Raw genomic sequence first — 21,829 nt, forward strand, 5'->3', positions numbered from 1 at the left:
CAGTATCAGTATTTTTTTAGCCTTTCTTCATTTGGTTATCATATTTCTTCCCCAATTGCTTAACATCACAGATGGTGCGACAGATAACTTCTGTGCCCTCCAAGTAACTTTGGAGCTAAACACATTAACTGGCATTTGTCATGTGGTGGGGGAGGGGTGGGAACAAAGTGTTTAAAATTAATCAAAATAAAGATGGAATATTAATTCACGACCGAGGAGTTACAATACTAATGAAGCTCTGACTCGAATGAGTTCTTATTTATTTATATTTATTTATTTGAGACAGGGTCTCGATCTGTCACCCAGGCTGTGCACCATCATGGCTCATGGCAGCCTCGACCTCCCAGGCTCAACTGATCCTTCCGCCTCAGTGTCCTGAGTAACTGGGACTACAGGCATGTGCCACAATACCTGGCTAGTTTTTCTTTCTTTTTTTTTTTTTTTTTTGGAGAGATAGGGTTTCAGCATGTTGCCCAAGCTCGTCTGGAACTCCTGGGCTGAACCAATCTGCCCACTTTAGCCTCCCAAAGTGCTGGGATTACAGCCATGAGCCACTGTGCCCAGCCAAATTTTTACTTTTATTTAATTTATTTATGTATATTTTAGAAGTGGGAATCTTGCTGTTTCCAGGCTAGAGTGCACTGACTATTCACAGGTGTGATCATAGAGCACTACAGCCTCAAACTCCTGACCTCAAGGGATCCTCCTGCCTTGGCCTCCCAAGCAACTGGGACTACAGGTTTGTGCCACCACGCTTGGCTTTAAATTAATATTTATTTATTTAGTGGGGTTTTTGTTTGTTTTTGTTTCTGCCAAGTGCACAGTATGATAAGCGAATTTTTAGAGGATTTGTTCTAGGCCTGATGCAGTGGCTCACACCTATAATCCCAGCACTTTGGGAGGCTGAGGCCAGAGGATCAGTTGAGCCCAGGAGTTTGAGACCAGCCTGGGTAACATGTTGGGATCTGCCTCTCTGTATAAGAATCTTTTCTATAAAGAAATGTAACACGTGATGACCGCATTGTATAATTGGGGGCCCAAGGCAAATAGTAGAGAAAAAGCTACCTTTTTCTCAGATCATTGCAACCTCCGCCTCTGGGTTCAAGCAATTCCCCTCCCAAGTAGCTGGTATTACAGGCATGTGCCACCACACCAGGCTAATTTTTGCATTTTTAGTAGAGACGGGGTTTCACCATGTTGGCCAGCATGGTCTTGAACTCCTGACCTCAGCTGATCCGCCCATCTGGGCCTCCCAAAGTGTTGGAATAACAGGCGTGAGCCACCACACACAGCCAACTGCAGGGACTTCTATAACCCATAAAAGGAAATAGAGAGAATCCGAATCTCTTGTTTTTACATTGTCTCCACACTCTTGAGGGCTACTCATTTTTTTTGTTTTGTTTTGTTTTGAGACAGGGTCTGGTTCTGTCACCCAGGTTGAAAAGCAGTGGGGCGATCTCAGCTCACAGCAACCTCCGTCTCCTGTGCTCAAACCATCCTGCCACCTCGACCTCCTGAGTGGCTGGAACCACAGGCATGTGCCACCACCCCCAGCTGATTTTTGTATTTTTTTGGTAGAGACAGGATTTCACCATGTTGCCCAGGCTGGTCTCGAACTCCTGGACTTGAGTGATCCACCCACCTCTGCCTCCCAAAGTGCTGGGATTACAGGCGTGAGTCATTGTGCCTGGCAGGGCTAGTAGTCTTCATGAAACTTCATGTGGGAGTAGAATGTTTCTTGATCTGAGAAGATTTTCCCACAGATGCTGCATGAGCAGCCATCATCCTCCTTGTGTGAACGCCGGACATGGCTGTCATGGGCAGCATGGGATGCAAAAGATTTACCACAGTACTTGCATTTGAAGGGCTTCTCCCCGGAGTGCTGCCTGATGTGTGTGCGGAGTATGCTGGAGGCTGTGAACCTCTGCAGAGAACAGAAATACAGAACACAAGAAAAAGTCAACTTCCACGAGCTGGACAACCAATTAAACTAAGGGGTAAATTTCACTGTTGCTCATCCTTATGGACGAACCTTGGGTTTTAAGGCCATAGAGCACTCCTGGTCATCATCAGTAGCCTTAATCCGAAAGGACTCCACTGATGTGTCCTTCTGGCTAGTTTTGAGAAGCACTGGATGTTAGAACAGTGGTTCTTCAATGGCTAGATTATCTGGAGGTCCAGTTTGTAAAAAAGCAGATTGCAGGCTGGGCGCAGTGGTTCACACCTGTAATCCCAGCACTTTGGGAGGCCAAGGCAGGTGGATCACCTGAGGTCAGGAGTTCGAGACCAGCCTGGCCAACATGGTGAAACCCCATCTCTACTAAAAATACAAAAATTAGTCAGGCATGCTATCGTGCACCTTTAATCCCAGCTTCTCAGGAGGCTGAGATGGGAGAATTTCTTGAACCCAGGAGGCGGAGGTTGCAGTAAGCCGTTATTGCACCACTGTACTCCAGCCTGGGTGACAGAGTGAGACTCTGTCTCCAAAAAAAAAAAAAAAAAAAAAAAAAAAGCAGACTGCCAGCCTGGGCAACATAGCAATACCTCACCTCTACAAAAAGTAAAAAAATTACCTAGGCATGGTAGCATGTACCTGTGGTCCCAGCTATTTGGAAAGCTGAGGTGGGAGGATAACTTGAGCCAGAAGGTCAAGGCTGCAGTGAGTTATGATGGCACCACTGCACTCCAGCCTGGGTAACAGAGCAAGACCCTCTCTTTAAAAAAAAAAAAAAAAAAAAAAGCAGATTACCAACCCCACCCAAGAGAGTGTGACCCAATAAATCTGACATGAGACCCAGGAGCCTGCATTTAAACAAGCAATTCTGATGCATGTGGGTCCTAGGATCATACTTCAAGACAAACCTCATTACAGAAAGAGAAGCTAATATCGACCAGAAGCTAATATCGGCCAGTGTCTTTGCATAAGTCAGTGCCTTACTGGTTTTCTTCTTCTTCTTCTTCTTTTTAATTTAAACTTTTTGAGATGGTTTGTAGGTTTGTTTTATTTGTTTGTTTGTTTGTTTGTTTTGAGACAGAATCTCACTCCATCACCCAGGTTGGAGTGCAGTGGCACAATCTTGGCTCACTGCAACCTCCACCTCCCAGGTTCAAGCGATTCTAGTGCCTCAGCCTCCCAAGTAGCTGGAATTACAGGTGCACTATGATGCCCAGCTAATTTTTCTATTTTTAGTAGAGATGGTGTTTCTCCATGTCGGCCAGGCTGGTTTCAAACTCCTGACCTCAGGTTGATCCACCCACCTTGGCCTCTCAAAGTGCTGGGATTACAGGTGTGAGCCACCACGCCCAGCTCAGTGGTGTTTTTCTATGCCCATTATTTTCATTCTATTGACACACACTTTGGAGGTATTAGTTGCTCTAATCTGGTAGACTCAATGTTTTATTCCTTTTGAGAGGCTTAGAAGTAGCTGTAGGACAGCCTCTACTCCTTTTACGGCTTTACTGTAAAAAGCGTAAATGACTCAGTGACTGAAAACATAATCTATACCAGTGCTTTCCAACAGGACTTGCTGCAATAATGGGAATATTCATTACCCACGCTGTCCATCTTGGAAATCAATGGCCACATGGAGCCATTGAGCACTTAAAATGTGGCTAATGCAACCTAGGGAACGGAATTTTTCAACTTTACTTCGTCTTTACTAATTGAAATAGCCACATATGATTAACCGCGAACTGCACATTGGGTAGCATAGAGCTATTTTGGTGTAATATGTCTAAAGCGTGGTCAACCTATTGTTTCTATTATAGCAACCTCTAACCACATGATTCATCTCTGTTTTTACAACTCTGTATTCTGTGTAACATAGACTAGATGCCGCTTCTGCAATGCTCCTATAGAAAATTACATCAGTAGCATCCTTCACAGATTAAAGTAGTAATAATAGCAGTTAACATTCCAGTAGTACTTTTATGTTATGCCAGGCACTGTTACAAGAGTTTTATATACTTTACTGATGTTATCCAACAACTTGGTAAAGACTATTCTCCCCAGTTTATCAATGTGGAAACTAACAGGAGTTCATGGACTTGCTCAGGGTGGCACAGCTAGGTAAGCACCAGAGGCAGGATTTGAAACTTGGCCATGTTTGTGTTCTTAAATACTATGAAATAGTGATTTTTTTTTTTTTTTTTTTTTGGAGACGGAGTTTCACTTTGCCACTCAGGCTGGAGTGCAGTGGCACAATCTTGACTCACTGCAACCTCTGCCTCTGGGTTCAAGTGATTCTCCTGCCTCAGCCTCCCAAGTAGCTGGGATTACAGGAACGTGCCACCATGCCCAGCTAATTTTTGTATTTTTAGTAGAGATGGGGTTTCACCATGCTGGCCAGGATGGTCTCGAACTCCCTATCTCCAGGCACCTGCCCACCTCAGCCTCCCAAAGTGCTGGGATTACGGGCTTGAGCCACCACGCCTCCCCACCCCCTCCTTTTTTTTTTGAGACAGTGTCTCACTCTGTCACCCAGGCTGGAGTGTGCAGTGGTGCAATCTTGGCTCACTGCAACCTCCACTTCCTGGACTCAAGCAATTCTCCAGCCTCAGCCTCCCAAGTAGCTGGGACTACAGGCATAAGCCACCGATGCATGGAAAATTTGATTATAGGTGTGAGCCACCACACTCAGCTAGTGCTTTTAAATACTATGTAATAGGTCATCAGGTCCCCATAAATTTGGAATGTATTTTATTACATGTACTCTAAATGCCAGCTTGGCAATAGGAGGTTGGTTATATTTGACCATCTTTAGCAAACTTGAGCATATTTAGGGGTGGAAATGAGGACTGGGCTGATATTTGACTAACATTTACCAAGAACTCATTAAGCCAGGCTTTGTTTCAAGTTCTTATCCATAGACACTCAAGCAGAGCTCAGGACACATCCCTTAGTAAGAGGTTCCATTTACCTTAGTACAATACACACACTGGTATGGTCTGTCTCCAGAGTGGACTCGCATGTGTTTGTTTAGGCTGGAAGATTGAGAGAAACATTTCCCACATGTAGAACACTAAGGTGAAAAAGAAAAATATAGTTGAAATCACACCTTCCTCTAACAAGTCCATTTCAACCTTGCGTTTACCTGGGGTTAGAGAAGAACTCTTTTCCAATTTTTTTCTTTTTTTTTTTTTTGAGACGGGATCTCAATTTGTTACCCAGACTGGACTGCAGTGGCACAATCACGGTTCACTGCAGCCTGGAACTCCCAGGCTCAAGCGATCCTCCCACCTCAGCCTCCTGAGTAACTGGGACTACAGGTGCGTGCCACTAAGCCAGCTAACTTAAAAAATTTTTTTTTGTAGAGATGAGGTCTCACTATGTTGCCCAGCCTTGTCTTGAACTCCAACAGATCCTCCTGCCTTGGCCTCCCAAAGTGCTAGGATTATAGCCTTGAGCCACGGCACCCGACCTGAGAGAACTCTTGCTTCAGATGTGGAATGTGGGAACTGAACAGGTTTGTGGTATATGGCAGAGGCCTGAATTAGTCCTGCTCTCTCAACAGGTAGCTGTGTGACTACAGAACATTGGTTAAATCTGGAATCTTAGTTTCCCGATCTTGCTCATGGGCAAAATACCTGCTCTGCCTTCCTCACAGAGCTATGAGTAAACTACAAGTACTGTGCAATTAACTCAACAATTATCTACGACTTACAGAGTACCTACTGTGTGCTCCACACTGCTAGAAACCAGGAGCTAGAAATCAAGGAGGGGTGACGATGAACATGTAAGCCAACATGGTAATGCACAGTAGCAGATTATCTGAGACGTGTTGAACTTGCATGAAGAGGTTAATATTTTGTTCACACGCTGTGAATAATTAATATTGTTTCTTGACCCTGGCAACTCCTCTCGAAACTGTCTCAGGAATTCTACACCAGGTGAAGTAAACTACCAGAGAGGTGCAAGCACCGAGAGTTTGCCAGGGATAAAGCAGAAGGCCTTTGGTTTTGACATCACTTTTAAGGAAATTACACTAACTAAAGAGAAAAAACAATTTTTCTCTGAGAAAGGTTTCTGTGCTTTCACAACCTCTTTCCAGGCATGCTTATGGGGCAGAGGAGAGAGCAAATCTTTGTATTTGTTTATTTATTTATTTTTATTTATTTTTGAGGCAGAGCCTCGCTCTGTTGCCCAGGCTGGAGTGCAGTAGCATGATCTCGGCCCACCGCAACCTCTGCCTCCTGGGTTTAAGCAATTCTGGTGTCTCAGCCTCCCGAGTGGCTGGGACCACAGGTGCGCACCACATGCCCATCTCTACAAAAAATACAAAAAATTAGCTGAGCATGGTGGCATGCACTTATAGCCTCAGCTCAGCTACTTGGGAGGCTGAGGTTGGGTGATTGTTTGAGCGTAGGAGGTGGAGGTTGCAGTGAGCTGAGATCATGCCATTGTACTCTAGCCTGGGCAACAGAGTGAGACTGTCTCAAAAAAAAAAAAAAAAAAAAAGATTGTTCCTCCACTGTACTGTAAGAGCACCTCGTCTGTTGAAGGGTAAGCCATCATCTCACTATCACCAGCTTCCTCATCAGTCCTGTCATCTACTGACCTCCTGGTTGACAGCCCTCCAGTTTCTTTTCTTTTTTTTTTTTTTTGAGACGGAGTCTCGCTCTGTCACCCAGGCTGGAGTGCGGTGGCGCGATCTCGGCTCACTGCAAGCTCCGCCTCCCAGGTTCACGCCATTCTCCTGCCTCAGCCTCCCGAGTAGGTGGGACTACAGGTGCCCACCACCACGCCTGGCTAATTTTTTGTATTTTTAGTAGAGATGGGGTTTCACCATGTTAGCCACGATGGTCTTGATCTCCTGACCTCGTGATCCACCTGTCTCGGCCTCCCAAAGTACTGGGATTAGGCGTGAGCCACCACTCCCGGCCTCCAATTTCAAAGAGAGCAAGCATTCTATACATCTTCTGTAATTTGGTTTTTGCTTGATAAGACAATATTTTTTTTTTTTTTTTGGGATGGAGTCTCACTCCTGCCACCCAGGCTGCAGTGCAATGACACAGTCTCGGCTCACTGCAACCTCCGCCTCTGGGGTTGAAGCAATTCTCCTGCCTCAACCTCTAGAGTAACTGGGGCTACAGGTGCCTGCCACCACACCCGGCTAATGTTTTTATATTTTTAGTAGAGATGGGGTTTCGCCATGTTGGCCAGGCTGGTCTCGAACTCCTGGCCTCAGGTGATCTGCCCACCTCAGCCTCCCAAGGTGCTGAGATTACAGGCGTGAGCCACTGCGCCTGGCCAGTAAGCCATAATTTATATAATCAATTTTGTGTTGATGAACATGCAGTCTCAAACTTTTCACTATCAGAATACTGGATAGTTTTCACTTTTGCCAGTCTAATAAGCGAGAAATACCTTCACCGTCCTGATATTTTTAAATCCTTTTAGAATTACACAAATGCATGATAACTGTAAATGTATTCAAATTTTATAGGAGTATATAATATAGTGATTAAACATGACTTTTCCAGAAGCTTAGGAAGGAAGGGAGAAATTAGGACAATTTTATGATGATTTTATTCTCAGTTTTCAAAACAGGAAAATGGGCTCAAGGTCGTAGCTGCCTGAGGTAGTTCCGACAAGGCCAACAGTCAAGCAAGAATACATCTGTGCCCAAGCCTCGTCCTCCTTTTAATTAAGCCCAAGGGAATATTGTACTTTTTTGCAGCAAGCCTAGCAGAGCATCCAGGTATTTGGAATGGCTCCGTAATGTCATTACTGATTTTCTGTCTTACAAAATCCTCGGCCCACTGTAGAGGCCTTCCGCTCCTTGGAAGGACCGTGCCTTCACTTCCTTCTTACCTATACCTGTCAACACACCTGCACAGATTTGGAACAAGGCGCAGTTCCCCAGGAGCACATGCCAGGCTCTCTCCTGTCTGGAACAGCTCGACTCTTTCCTGCCCAACTAACCCTGCCACCAGTATAAATCAGACACCCCATTTGTCCTTCTATACTTGGCTCAAGGCCACCTCTGTGCATCTTTCATAATCCACGTGTCCAGGTGGCCGTGGACACTCCTTCCTCCATGTTCCTCCCTCTGTGGGTACCTGCATCCTAACACATGTGCATCGCTGTGCCTATTCACGCCTGCCTGTTCCGTAATACTATCCTCTCCTCCTTCAGAGAGGGTGTCCGTCAGGCATCACAGCCCTGCAGCTAGCACCTACAAGGCAACTCCCCGTGTTCAGGAGCTTGGGAAGGGAGAGAGAACGTGATGGTGGGTCATGTGTCCTCCTAATACTCACCTTGTGAGGCCGGTGCTTCTCATGAACATGAAGAATGTGGATCCGAAGCCGGTCCCGCTTCTCAAAGGATCGTTTGCAGAGAGAACAGGGAAATTTCCTATCGCCCTTGTCCACACAGGGGGTGTACTTGAGGTGCTTATCTCTGTAATATTTGTAGGTAAATACCTTCCCACATCTTTCACATCTGTAGCCTTCTGCAGACTCTGTCAAACACAGCAAACACAATGTCTCTTCAGTTACTTCCCTCCCTAGTTCCTTCAAGAGGATATTTATTTATTTATTTATTTTTAGCCAAGAATTCTTTGGCTACTTCAAGAGGAATTTTCTTTTTTTGAGACAGAATCTTGCTGTATTGCCCAGTCTGTAGTGCAGTGGCACGATCTTGGCTCACTGCAACCTCTGCCTCCCAGGTTCAAGCGATTCTCCTGCCTCAGCCTCCCAAGTAGCTGGGATTACAGGTGCCCACTACCACGCCTGGCTAATTTTTGTATTTTTAGTAGAAACAGGGTTTCATCATGTTGGCCAGGCTGGTCTAGAACTCCTGACCTCAGGTGATCAGCCCCTCTTGGCCTCCCAAAGTGCTAGGATTACATGCGTGAGCCACTGTGCCTGGTCAAGAGAATTTTCTTTTCTTTTCTTTTTTTTTTTTTGAGATGGAGTCTTGCTCTGTCACCCAGGCTGGAGTGCAGGGGTGTGATCTCGGCTCACTGCAACCTCCACCTCCCGGGTTCAAGTGATTCTCCTGCCTCAGCCTCCCAAGTAGCTGGGACTACAGGCACACACCACCACGCCCAGCTAATTTTTGTATTTTTAGTAGAGGTGGGGTTTCACCATCTTGGCCAGGACAGTCTTGATCTCTTGATCTTGTGATCCACCTGCCTCGGCCTCCCAAAGTGCTGGGATTACAGGCATGAGCCACCATGCCCGGCCGCCAAGAGAATTTTTAAAAACCTTTTTATTACAGAAAAATGTAAACATACCAAAGTGAAAATAATAGTGTAATAAACCCTCATGTGCCAAACACCAAGCTTTGACCAACTCGTAACTAATTTTGTTTTCATTTATATCACCGCTCGCCATAGTAGATTATTTTAATACTAATTCATCCTTTGACTCAAAAACATCTAACCGTAATCTTTAGAAGATGACATATTTTTAAAAAGCATAATTGTGACCAGGCAAAGTGGCTCACGCCTATAATCCCAGCACTTTGGGAAGCTGAGGCAGGTGGATCACCTGAGGTCAGGGGTTCAAAACCAGCCTGGCCAACATGGTGAAATCCCGTCTGTACTAAAAATACAAAATTAGCCAGGCGTGGTGGTGCCTGCCTGTAATCCCAGCTACTTGGGAGGCTGAGGCAGGAGAATCACTTGAACCTGGGAGGCGCAGGTTGCAGTGAGCCAAGATTGCACCACTGCACTCCAGCCTGGGCAACAACAGCAAAACTCCATCTCAAAAAAAAAAAAAAAAGCATAATTGTGCCAGGTGCAGTGGCTCACGCCTATAATCCCAACACTCTGGGAAGCTGAAGTGGACAGATCGCTTGAGCCCAGGAGTTTGAGACCAGCCTGGGCAACATAGTAAGACCCCATCTCTACAAAAAAATAATAAAAATTATCTGGGCATGATAGCACACGCCTTTAGTCCCAGAGGCCGAGATGGGAGGATCACCTGAGCCTGGGGAAGTTAGTTGAGGCTGCAATGAGCAGTGATTGAGCCACTGCACTCCAGCCTGGGCAACAGAGCAACACTTTGTCTCGAAAAAAAAAAAAAAACATAACCATAATGTCATTGTCACATTGTCATACCTAAACGATTAACTCTTATTCTTTTATAGAAACATATATGTACTTATATATGCACATTTATATACACACATATATATTTGTTTAATTACTTTCTGGTCAGTCCATTCAAATTAGGCTTCAAACAAAGTCTACATGTTGTATATGGTTGCTATGTCTCTTAAATATCTTAACCTATAGGCTCTCTTTCCCTTTTGTTCCTTGATATGTACTGTTGAAGAGACCATTCCACCAGCCCCATTTAAGGGCAGTGCAACCCTGCAGCTCTTGAACACATTCCTGCCTGGCACTTGTTACAAGGTTAATACACTGAGGCACTGAGGCCGACCTATTTCTCTTTGTGCCTTTAAGATCAGCCTGAGTTACAAGCTCAGAGCAGTCACCAGGACACCCGCAGCTCACAGTGCTGTTCTATTCTACACAATTCAAGGGACCTTCTTAGTTTATACTTCATTACTCAAAACTTGTGGCAGATTCCAGAGCTAGAATCTTTATGTATAGAGTAAGGTTGAAAGCATCTTGACTTCCCTAATGCACAGGGTTACCGTGATGACTAATTTAATTCTAACACTTACCGAGTCTTACCAATGTGAGTGATACTATCACTGAATGGCAGACAAGACTGAGAGGTAAATCTGTTTTTATCAATGGAGGAGGGAGGAGGAGAGAAGTTAGAGAGGGTGCAGCTAGACTCTAGCAAAGCAGGTCCCACGTCCAGGGGTGTCTATGTGTTGGGGGAAGGCGAGAGAACAGGGGCCACCTACAAAAGCATCCCTGCAGAGGACACTCTGGATCCCAGAGGATAAAGTGGCTTTGACTATGAATGCACCACAGAGATCTCATTGTTTGACCCCAGGGAGGAAGAGCAGCCAAGAGTGAGTCTATGCAAGAGTCTGCAGATAGAAATCTTCTCAGCATCAGGACAGCAGGGAAGCTGTCCATCAGGGGCTTTGTTAGTTGACAACTACATCCCAGGCACGTTTAACAGGTGGCTAAGGAAATAAACTATTCATTAAGTAAATAACCAGGAAGGCAACTGCCAGCCCCAAGCTGATCCATCGCCCTGCTCTGTCTATCACTTTCATTGAGGTGCTAATACTCTCAGAATCCCCGTGCTGGGACACTTTTTTGGCACAGAGGTAGAATTTTTATTGGTCAGAAATACCTGGCCTTCCTGCTTCCTGGGGTGGGAAGGGAAGAGAGGGTCAGCAATTTTACAAACCTAAGCACTAAAGCACACCAAAATTCAGAATAAAGTTTCAATACTGAGTTCGCTTAAGAACAACCACTTAGGTAGAAATGAAACCTAATTTCATCTTGTTCCCTATCCTTCCTAATTTTATCTTGTTCCCTATCCTCCCTCCCCCTAGCTCTTCACACCTCCACACCCCAAAACACACACCCAAATTCCCTCTCTCCCTCACAAGAGGGGAATGCTTGCATATTCAAATAACCCGCCCACATAGAGTCTAGACCCTTCCCTCACCACTCAAGACCTTAAAGAGGAAGGCTCCCACCTACCACCAATCCCCACCAAAAAGCCTTTGGGGAAAAAAACTCATTTGAGAATGCAATGGAATTTTAATTTTTCTTTCCTTTTTATCACATCCAAACCATTCATATTAACAGATTAACAAATTAACATTCATTTATAATTATTCCCAACAAATTAAGTTGTTTACAAGTTTCCCTCCATTGTCCAAAATATATGTCCTCATAATAATGCTGTAAGCATCAGGTATCACTTGGTTCAGAACTGGAACACAAGTATCTTATCTGCATGCTGGGTATCCCCTGCACTTAACCATCATAAGCCCTCATTCTGTTGCTTGCTCTGATTGCCTCTGATATCGGCATACTATTCCATGTTAATAACAAATAGGTTGAGTATCCTTTTTCTGAAATGCTTGGGACCAGAAGTGTTTTGGATTTCAGGTTTTTTTCGAACTTTGGAATATTTCATATACATAATGAGGTATCTTGGGGATGGAACCAAAGTCTAAATATAAAGTCCATTTATGTTTTGTTTTATACATACTTTATACACATAGCCTGAAGGTAATTTTTTTTTTTTTGAGACGGAATCTTGCTCGGTCTGCAACCTCCGCCCCCGGTTTCAAGCGATTATCCGGCTCCAGCCTCCTGAGTAGCTGAGATTACAGGCATCTGCCACCATGCCCAGCTAATTTGTTTGTATTTTTAGTAGAGACGGGGTTCCACCATGTTTGTCATGCTGTTCTCAAACTCCTGATCTCAGGTGATCTGCCTGCCTCGGCCTCCCAAAGCGCTGGGATTACAGGCATGAGCCACCGTGCCTGGCCCACCTGAAGGTAATTTTACACAATATTTTAAATAATTTTGTGCATGAAACAAAGTTTGTGTCAAGTACTGGTGTGTGGAAATTCCCACTTTTGGCAATATGTCAGTGCTCAGTTTCAGATTTTAGAGCATTTTGGATTTGGGATTTCTTGATTGGAGCTGCTGAGCCTGTATCATCATTTACTTAATTATTATACTACTGAACATTTAGGTTGTTTGTGATTTTTCACTCACAAGAGTGGTGCCACAGTTAAAAATTTTCATAAGCATAGCTTTTTCCTTTTGGACTATTTCTCGATAATAGATTTCCAGAAGAGTATTACTGAGACATCAAAGTTACAAACATTGTAATAATTTGATACATACGGTGAAAAAATTTCTCAAAAATGGCCGGCCATGGTGTCTCATGCCTGTTATCCCAGAATTTAGGGAGGCCAAGGTGGGTGGATCACTTGAGTCCAGGAGTTCAAGACCAGCCTGGCCAAAATGGCGAAACCCCATCTCTACTAAAAATACAAAAATTAGCTGGGTGTGGTGGTGCATGCCTGTAATCCCAGCTACTCGGGAGGCTGAGGCAGGAGAAATGCCTGAACCCTGGAGGCAGAGGTTGCAGTGAGCCTAGATTACACTACTGTACTCCAGTCTGGGTGACAGAGTGAGACCCTATCTCAAAAAATAATAATGATTTCTCAAAAGGATAATAACCATCTTGCCAGTTACTAAGCAGATACTTTTCTCAAATCCATTGTTCACTTTTCTTTCTTTCATTTTTCTTTTTGAGATGGAGTCTCACTCTGTCACCCAGGCTGGAGTGCAGTGGCGCCATCTCAGCTCACTGCAACCTCTGCTCCTGGGTTCAAGCGATTCTCCTGTCTCAGCCTCCTGAGTAGCTGGGATTACAGGCATGCACCACCACACCCAGCTAATTTTTTGTATTTTAGTAGAGACGGAGTTTCACCATGTTGGCCAGGCTGGTCGTGAACTCCTGACCTCAGGTGACCCAACCACCTTGGCCTCCCAAAGTGTTGGGGTTACAGGTGTGAGCCACCACGCCCAGCCTGTTGACTTTTATTTCGAAAGGAGTTGGTACATTTCAGGAAGTGACCAACAGGTCTTGGTTTGGTGCTAAGTAGGAGACAACTTAGAGCTCCACAGATCATAGAGAATCCCAACCATTTTTGCCTCCATTCCTATCTTCACCTACATTCCCACACCCACACCACCCACCAAAACACTTCTGGTCCCAGGCATTTCAGAAAAAGGATACTCAACCTGTATGCAGATATCAGAGGCGATCAGAACAAGCAACAGAATGAGGGCTTATGATGGTTCAGTGGCGGGGGGAACCCAGCATGGACATAAGATACCTGGGGGAGTAGGAAGATAGTTCACCAAAACAATCCTGACAGCCCCTCATCATTGGGACCATTATTTATCATTAGATAAATAATGACGGCTGACTGCTCATTATTTATCATTAGATAAATAATGACTGCTTATTATTTACCCCCTAATTTCTGGACATTTCCTTGCCTTCTGCTTCACTGTTCCCTGAGCCTGATTGCCTTCCCTCTCTCCCTCTTACACGTGCCTTATTTCATCTCATCCCTAAGCAGCTTTTTCTAGCTTAGTTCTAATGTCTTCCTCTCAGTCAGTACGCACTGGGATCCAGAAGCACGAGATACTAAAGTGTTTAGGGTTATTTCCTGCCCTGAAGCATCTCAGCCTAGCAGGAAAACAGGCATGCAGATGCAATTTACTTTTTTTTTTTTTTTTTTTGAAACGGAATCTCGCTCTGTCGCCCAGGCTGGTGTGCAGTGGCGCAATCTCAGCTCACTGCAAGCTCCCCCTGCTGGGTTCACGCCATTCTCCTGCCTCAGCCTCCCAAGTAGCTGGGACTACAGGGGCCCGCCACCACGCCCGGCTAATTTTTTTGTATTTTTAGTAGAGAAGAGGTTTCACCGTGTTAGCCAGGATGGCTATGATCTCCTGACCTCGTGATCCGCCCGCCTCACCTCCCAAAGTGCTGGGATTACAGGCGTGGGCCACCACGCCTGGGCCATTTTTTTTTTAAACCTGCTCCTTACACATTTATTACATCATAATAATTTGCCTTCTCTCTCTCTCTTTTTTTTTTTTTGGAGACGGAGTCTTACTCTGTTGCCCAGGCTGGAGTGCAGTGGTGCGGTCTTGGCATATTGCAACCTCTGTCTCCTGGGTTCAAATGATTCTCCTGCCTCAGCCTCCTGAGTAGCTGGAACTACAGGTGTGTGCCACTACGCCCCGCTAATTTTTTGTATTTTTAGTAGAGACGGGTTTTCACCACGTTAGCCAGGATGGTCTTGATCTCCTGACCTGGTGATCTGCCCATTTCGGCATCCCAAAGTGCTGGGATTAGAGGCGTGAGCCACTGTGCCCGACCTGAGATGAGGTTTTACCATGTTGGCCAGGCTAGTCTTGAAGTCCTGACCTCAAGTGATCCGCCCATCTCCGCCTCCAAAAGTGCTGAGATTACAGGTGTGAGCCACAGTATCCGGCCTGCCTTCTCTCTTATTTACAGGAATTTACATTTATCTTGTCCCACCTACTAGATTAGTAGTTCCTAAACTTCAGTGTATATAGAAATCACTTGGAGAGCTTATTTAACATGCAAATTCCAAAGTCTCACCCCTAGAGTGGGCTGGTGGTTCCCTCGCCCCTTGCTACTGGAATGTGGACCAGGGACCAGGACCAGCAGCACTCCCTGCAAGTTGATAAAAATACCAAATCCTGGGCCCCTACCCTGAATGAGAACCAGCATCATGAAGATCCCTGGGTATTCATTCCCACATTAAAGTTTGAGAGTGAGAGTCCAGCTCAGTATTTCTCAAACTTGCCTGAGACCCATAGTAGGCAATGTATTTTATGCTTGACACCCACCATACCCACATATACCCATGTGAAATAGAAATTTCACAAAACAATCCTTACTCTTAAGGGATTCCCATCAATATTTTCTATTCTACTCTATACTTTTTTTTTTTTTTAATGTGGGTCTTGACCACTAAATTGATTTCCCACCCCACTAAGACATGCAACTCTGCAACCCACCATTTGAAAAACACTGCTCTAGTGATTAGACTTCAGCTACATTAGCCTGGGCAGAGATGAATCAGAAACTGGCTCACCTATGGTAGAAGTTACATCCATTTAGTACGTTTTCTTTTACTCTTGGGGTGGAAGGTAGGGAAGAAGAACAAGTCTTTATAAATAGGAGTATATATCTTTATAAATAGGAGTAGCTTCCGCAGCTTTGGGAAATTGAGGATGCTTTCCTTCACCTGGGTAATTCCCCCCTGGTTAGAGACACTCTCGGTTAGTCCTCTGCATTAGCCTTTAGGAGGGAGGAGCTGTGCATGGAGGGTTTGTGGAAAAGAGCCCAGTCCTTCTACTGGGATGCCCTCATTGGGCAAGGCGAGGGTGTGCACTCACCTTCAGAGGGCCCAGATGGCTGCTTCCCCGGCTCTGTGACCTGAAGGCTCACAGGAATATCCAGAAATTTCTCATAGCAGTCTCCATACCACACAAGGAGCTCTTGGTTCTGATGGATCTCTTTGCAGCTCTCATAAAATATATGCCCTTGACACTGCACAGCAACTAGGTTCTGCTCCTTGGGGAAGCGGGCACAGTTGACATAGGACATCCAGTTCCCCGTACCTCCTTTTCCATCTATAAAGTGGCTCAAATGACCATCTTCAAAGATCTAAATGAAATAAGACATGAAGTTTGTATTGTACTTCTTTTTTGGTCTAATCTATAAAATAAATTTTTTAATACTTGTAACCTAAATATCACACTTGAGTCCACCAAATACACTTCTATCATTCTGATTTTTATGTCATTACAAGTAGTTTATAAATTTACTTATGCCAACATAGATTTGTTAGTTTAAGGACACCTCTCTAGGTAATGTCACATATTGGGTTTGTTTGTTTTTTTCAGAGACAGAGTCTCACTCTGTTGCCCAGACTGGAGTGCAGTGGCTCAATCACAGGTCACAGTAGCCTCGAATTCCTGGGCTCAAATGATCCTCCCACCTTAGCCCCCTGAGTAGCTGGAACTAAAGGCATGCACCATCACGCCTGGCAAATTTTTTTAAAAAAATTTTTTGTAGAGACAGGGCCTCACTCTTTCCTAGGCTGGCCTCAAACTCCTGGGTTCAAGTGATCCTCCCACCTTGGCCTCCTAAAGTGCTAGAATTACAGGTGTAAGCCACTGAGCCTGCCTAATGTGACATATTCTAAAAGATTCTTACTTTTATCACTTTCTTGCTTCCCAAATTCCTATAGTGAGCACATGTTAATTTCATAAGCAGAGGTAAGTGAAACAAAAAGGTTTTATTTAATTCCACCACTTAAACACAACTGAATAGTTTTATATTTTACTCCCAGTTAGGTTTCATGCATATTAATGGAGCTATAGATTATTTCTTTCAAGGCCGGGCCTGGTGGCTCACACCTGTAATCCCCGCACTTTGGGAGGCCAAAGCAGGCGGATCATGAGGTCAGGAGTTCGAGACCAGCCTGGCCAACATGGTGAAACCCCTCTCTACTAAAAATACAAAAATTAGCCGGGCATGGTGGCACATGCCTGTAATCCTAGCTACTCGGAAGACTGAGGCAAGAGAATTGCTTGAACCCAGGAGGTGGAGGTCACAGTGAGCTGAGATCACGCCACTGCACTCCAACCTGGGTAACAGACAAAAACTCCGTCTCAAGAAAAAAAAAACAAAAAAAAAAAAACAAAGAAAGATTACTTCTTTCTCTGCTGCTGGCAATTTCGCTGTCTCCAACATTTTGTTATTATAAACAACCCTAGGATTAACATATTCCACATAGCCTCAATTTCAGATTATTTTCCTGTACTATATTCCTAGAAGTAGAAATTCAGGGTCAAGGGACTTTGAACATTTTAAGGTATCTGATACATTCTGACAAATTTTCTCCTGCAGGTAATAAACTGCAGTCCCACTAGCATATCCCTAATATATCATCACTAGATCTTGAAGAGTATCTGGTTATTTTTTTTTTAATCCTTGACTAATTTTATAGGTGAATAATATTGAATTTTAAAACTTGTTTTTATTCTCTTTAGCATAGTTTCAGCACTCTATAATATCTAAAGCATTTAGTTTTGTCTATAAATATAATACAACATATTGATTCTTTAAATGTATATTCCATTGCTAATCTTCCAGACTAAAATGACTTAAGGCACCCACAAAACACAGAATTCATGCAGAGGTGCTATCCTCATGGAGCAAACACTGGCCGTTCCTTCCTTTTACAGGCAACACAAACCACAGATATCTGCCCTGGATGTCCTCTCTCTCTGACCAGGACTCTCCCAAAAGGGCAAAGGCCAAGATTTCCCCGGACTAGTCTCCCGCCCCATTTTCAGCAGCAGACCCACCAGAAACAGATTTACCTCCCACATCACAGAATTGTCTCCGTAGGTCTTCACTTCACTGGCATTGACCACTTTACCTTGAAAGGGCCCAAACCTGACTCCTTTGGCGATAAAACTACTGCAGAACACACCAAAATGTGGGACTTCACCAAACACCGTCTGCATGAGGCATAGACCTAGGGGAAAGCCGAGGCAGGAAAAGAGAATGAGGAGAGTTGACTCTGCATTAGTTCAGGGAAAGAAATCCATGCAAGGAGTCCTGCCTACCTTCTGGAAGTTGAAGGGAGTCTTTATCCAGAGTTTGAGGAAGAGAATCAGATCCTAGCAAAAGGCAGGTTAAAACAATTTTTCATTAAAAATGCATTATAAAGTGCTTTTATGAGGTGTTTCCCTCCTTAATTCCCTAAAGGTAACCATCATCCCAGTTTGATATTTATTTGTTGTTTCTATTTTTCCCTGCTCATTTTACATGGTCTGTTCATACACGATTTCACTGTAAACAATTCCATATACAATTTCTCATTTGAGACTCAGAACAGCCTCATGGAAGTTTATGTAATTAACCCCATTAGGCAAATTCAAGGAATTTGAGGATCAGAGGTAATGCCTGACTAAGGTCAGCGTAGCTAGCTGAGCTGGGACTGTTAGGTGTGAACTGCTGAAGGCTGTCATTGCATGTTAGCATAGAATCTGAACCTACCTGGGAGTTCGCTGCAGGAACCATTTCTCTCTTGGTCCTCAGCTCTCACTAAAACCAACCTTAGTCATGCAGTTAAGCAAGCAGGGCCTCAGAAGTGAGCCTAGAACAGCCCTGGCTCTCATGGAGGTACTTCCCCCTTCCCGCACTCTGCAGCCTCAGCTCCACCTGGAAGCGCCTCTTCCCGGACACTCCCGTTCCCGCCTGCATTCCCGTCCAATTCGACTCCCAAATGGTGTGAACTCCCTTTACCAGAGCTGTCTGGGGGGACCAGGAGGCCTGAAATCGCATGGTGCAGGCTGGCTGGGTGCTCCAGGCTGGGAGTGACCCCGTACAGAACGAAGTGCAGGTCCTCCTCCGTGAACTGGAACCGAGCAGGGGACTTCCCTTCTTGGTTGGAGGGTTTGGGACCATCCTCTGACTGCTTGCTGGGTGAGCAAGGTAATAACTGGGAGGTCCTCAGCCCCTCAGGTAACAGAGAAGCATCCGCAGGGGGCGGTGGAATTAAAGTGTCAGGTCCACAACACGGGCCACTCTCGTTGTCGCCACCAATGATTTGGTGGCCCAGATCTTCACTGCTGGCACCCGCGTACTCGTGGCTGCTGCTCAGGAAGGGCGGCACTTCCCTGGGGACGTGGGGAATTGGGTACCACGGTGGCAGCTTGCTGTACCAGGGCAGATCGTAGAGAGGCTCCCTCTGTAGGCCCAGACCCGGGCTCAGCAAGGGAGGCGCCATCCGGAAGGGGAAGGGGGGCATGGCGGGGGCAGCAGACGCTGCGGCCTCCAGCTGCCGGAAAGGTTGGAAGTCTTCCTCCACGGTGGCCAGGCTGTTTCTGTAGTGTCCATAGGACGGGAAAGGCGTGTAGTACGCGGCCAGGTTCTGCGGGCTGCTCTCCGGCGGGTAGCACACCTTGTCCTGAGGCACGGCCTCACTTGGCCGGGGTAGAGCCATCCCGGGACCGCACGCTCGGCGGCTCTGCAGAAAAGCGGGCGCCGCTGAGGACACCGCGCGGGAGCTTCCCGGGGTCCGACCCGCGCCTCCCCACCAGCCTCCTCCACCCCAGCCAGCCCCAGATCCAAGGGAACAGGATAAACGCCCCCAGTCCGATCCCGCCAGCCCGCTCCCACAATTAAGACAAAACGAAAAAACAGCAATAGAAGCAAACACAAAAAAGCCCCAAACGGAAATCTGCCGGGATCCTGCCCTACTCTAAATTCCGGGTTAGTGTTGCCTTCCCCTTCCCTCTCCAAGCACCCCTTCCCTAAGCCCGGCCGCCTTCCCACACCCGCTCTCCGCTTTCGGCCCCCAACCCGGTTCCTGCAAAACCCATTGAAGTTCCCTTTCCTTCCTTCTTCTCAGTCCTACAAAACTCGTTGGTAGGGTCTGTGGGAGCCGCGGGGCCCTGCCAACCTCGGGGCTGGGCCGGGAGCCGAGCGCAGGCGGTCGGAGGGCAATGGAGCAAGCGACAGCTCCAGGCGCTCCTGGGCCCTCGGCTGGGAGGGAAGAGCCGAGGACCCTGGGTCGCACCGCGCAGATGGAGACGCGCTCCCAGAGCCCCCGGGCAGGTCCAGGGACCCCGCGACCTGCTCTGGCCCAGCGGTGTGACCCCGCGGGTCCTGGCGGTCCTGACTGCCCGCAGGGGAGGGGCGCGCCACTTTTGGCTGCCCTAGGATGCGCCGCCTGAACCTCTTTTCCCTCGCGGGCAGCGTCCGCCACATTCCCCGGGTTCCTCGGAAACTCCAATCATTCTACCAGGACTATTGGGGCCTGGGGTAGCCCCTCGGGAGCCGCGTGGACGAGCCCTGGCCAGGTGGGAGCGAAGAGCCTCGGCGACTGCCAGTCCTCCCGCCCCCGCACCGCCGGGAAAGGATGGCGTTTTAATAGACAGGCAGCAAGTTCACCGAGGCTGAAGAATGAAGCCCCTTCAGGGCCGGCGGGTCTTGAGATCAATGAGCCCAATAAGAAAACCAAGCAGGGTCATGACTCAGAAATTAAAGAACACGGGGTCAGGAGAAGAGGTCAGCCACGACACAGGCAGCGGCCCGTCTCCTCCCGATCCTCCAAAGGCGCCCTTCTCCTAGCCTCCTCCGACCTCAGGGATCTGCAACTTGGGATTCAAAGCCCCCGAGAGGGCAGAACGACCATCCAAAACGAACTGCGCCAGCGAGTGCTGCCGCCCTCCCCAACGGCCCTGGAAGACCACCGCCCCGGGCCCCAGGCGCGTCCTGTCCCGTGCCTACCTCCGACACCACCTCCAAGAGCGCCACCGCGGAGCGGGCGCCTCCTGGACGCTGCGGGGCCACTCGGGCTCGGTAGGCCACTCGGGCTCGGTAGACTTCGGGCGGGCCCTGAGGGCTGAGCCAGGCTTAAGAGGGCGGGCGGGGCCGCGGGGCATCGACAGGTCGAGGGTAGGGAATTGACCCGGCCCACGCAGATCCCCGCGTCGTCTTCTCCCCGCCCACCGCAGCCATTGGCCGACTCTCGACTCGCCCTCTGTCCCCTGGGGTCGCTCACTTAACTCATCAGTTTTCCAAACCCTCCCTGGGACCCTAGTGGCGAGCACTCGCCGCTGGCCTTCTAGGGCAGGCAGTATTGCCGCTCCAGGCGTGCGGAGTCGGGGAGAAAAAAACCGAACACGTGTGCTACCCAGGGCCCCCAGATAAGCCCCTCCGCGCGCACACACACCCTGAACCGGAGTCCAGAAGGCCGGACTCGCGTCCCGGGGTCGAGCCCCTTACTCTCCGCTCCCAGTTCGGAAGATCCCAGCCTGCCCGAAGGCGGCGTCTGACCCGCTGGTGGACCTGGTGGGTGTCTGTTCCTGATACCTGGGGACGAGGCGGGAGCGCCTTGAGCGCTGGGAAGCTTCGCCTCGCGAGTCCCCGGCAGTGACACGTGGGAGCGTTGGGCCCGGCACCCCCGACGCTTCCGAGGTTTCGGGTGGTCGTTTTGCTCTCTCGGGGGCTTTTATTCCTTAAGTGGCTTTAAACGACCGAGGATGGGCCTCCCGCGCCGCCGCAGCTGTCACTTCCTTCGGGAAAGGCTAGCGACCTTGGACGCGCAGGCTCTGAAAACCAAGGTCCAGACCCATACCGAGCGCCCAAAGACCGCATTTGAATTCTCCTCGCCGGCCATTGAGGGAGAGAAAGGAACGCTTAGTTCCATTCACATTCACAGAAAGAAGCGCCGAGGGTGGGGGAAACGCAGTCTTGCCGGGTGAGCCGGGACAGGTTCCTCGCCTGCCCCCCGGCCGCTGCTTCCTCTTAGCTGAATGGGGAGCGACCCGCCCCGGGCGCGGCCTTC

At 47.4% G+C, this 21,829-nt stretch overlaps 1 protein-coding gene across 1 annotated transcript, besides 3 other annotated features; it reads right to left on the reverse strand.

The window, feature by feature from the left end:
- Positions 1-1,270: 1,270 nt before the first annotated feature.
- PRDM14 (PR/SET domain 14) lies at positions 1,271-20,872 on the reverse strand. The gene is made up of 8 exons (NM_024504.4): positions 20,770-20,872; positions 18,781-19,504; positions 18,099-18,152; positions 17,850-18,007; positions 15,855-16,125; positions 8,260-8,462; positions 4,920-5,021; positions 1,271-1,924 (listed from the first exon to the last, which is right to left on the reverse strand). The coding sequence occupies exons 2-8, from the start codon at positions 19,478-19,480 to the stop codon at positions 1,697-1,699; spliced, it is 1,716 nt and encodes a 571-aa protein (NP_078780.1). The 5' UTR covers positions 19,481-19,504; positions 20,770-20,872; the 3' UTR covers positions 1,271-1,696.
- Positions 10,646-11,236: an enhancer, noted in NCBI's record as "OCT4-NANOG hESC enhancer chr8:70973261-70973851 (GRCh37/hg19 assembly coordinates)". NCBI's record gives its function as "activates a minimal SCP1, AML or CMV promoter by ChIP-STARR-seq in primed H9 embryonic stem cells {active_cell/tissue: H9 hESC(primed)}" and the evidence as "EXISTENCE:reporter gene assay evidence [ECO:0000049][PMID:30033119]".
- Positions 20,366-21,095: an enhancer, noted in NCBI's record as "OCT4-NANOG-H3K27ac hESC enhancer chr8:70982981-70983710 (GRCh37/hg19 assembly coordinates)". NCBI's record gives its function as "activates a minimal SCP1, AML or CMV promoter by ChIP-STARR-seq in naive H9 embryonic stem cells {active_cell/tissue: H9 hESC(naive)}" and the evidence as "EXISTENCE:reporter gene assay evidence [ECO:0000049][PMID:30033119]".
- Positions 21,096-21,825: an enhancer, noted in NCBI's record as "OCT4-NANOG-H3K27ac-H3K4me1 hESC enhancer chr8:70983711-70984440 (GRCh37/hg19 assembly coordinates)". NCBI's record gives its function as "activates a minimal SCP1, AML or CMV promoter by ChIP-STARR-seq in primed H9 embryonic stem cells {active_cell/tissue: H9 hESC(primed)}" and the evidence as "EXISTENCE:reporter gene assay evidence [ECO:0000049][PMID:30033119]".

This window comes from Homo sapiens, chromosome 8, assembly GCF_000001405.40.
Source record: "Homo sapiens chromosome 8, GRCh38.p14 Primary Assembly".
NCBI lineage: Eukaryota > Metazoa > Chordata > Mammalia > Primates > Hominidae > Homo > Homo sapiens.

Coding starts and splice junctions, on each gene's coding strand:
- PRDM14 (NM_024504.4), bottom strand. CDS start 19,480: ATGGCTCTACCCCGGCCAAGTGAGGCCGTGCCTCAGGACAAGGTGTGC. Junction 18,008..18,098: donor CTCCCTTCAACTTCCAGAAG/GTAGGCAGGACT, acceptor GCTTTCCCCTAG/GTCTATGCCTCATGCAGACG. Junction 8,463..15,854: donor GCCATCTGGGCCCTCTGAAG/GTGAGTGCACAC, acceptor TGTGTTTGACAG/AGTCTGCAGAAGGCTACAGA.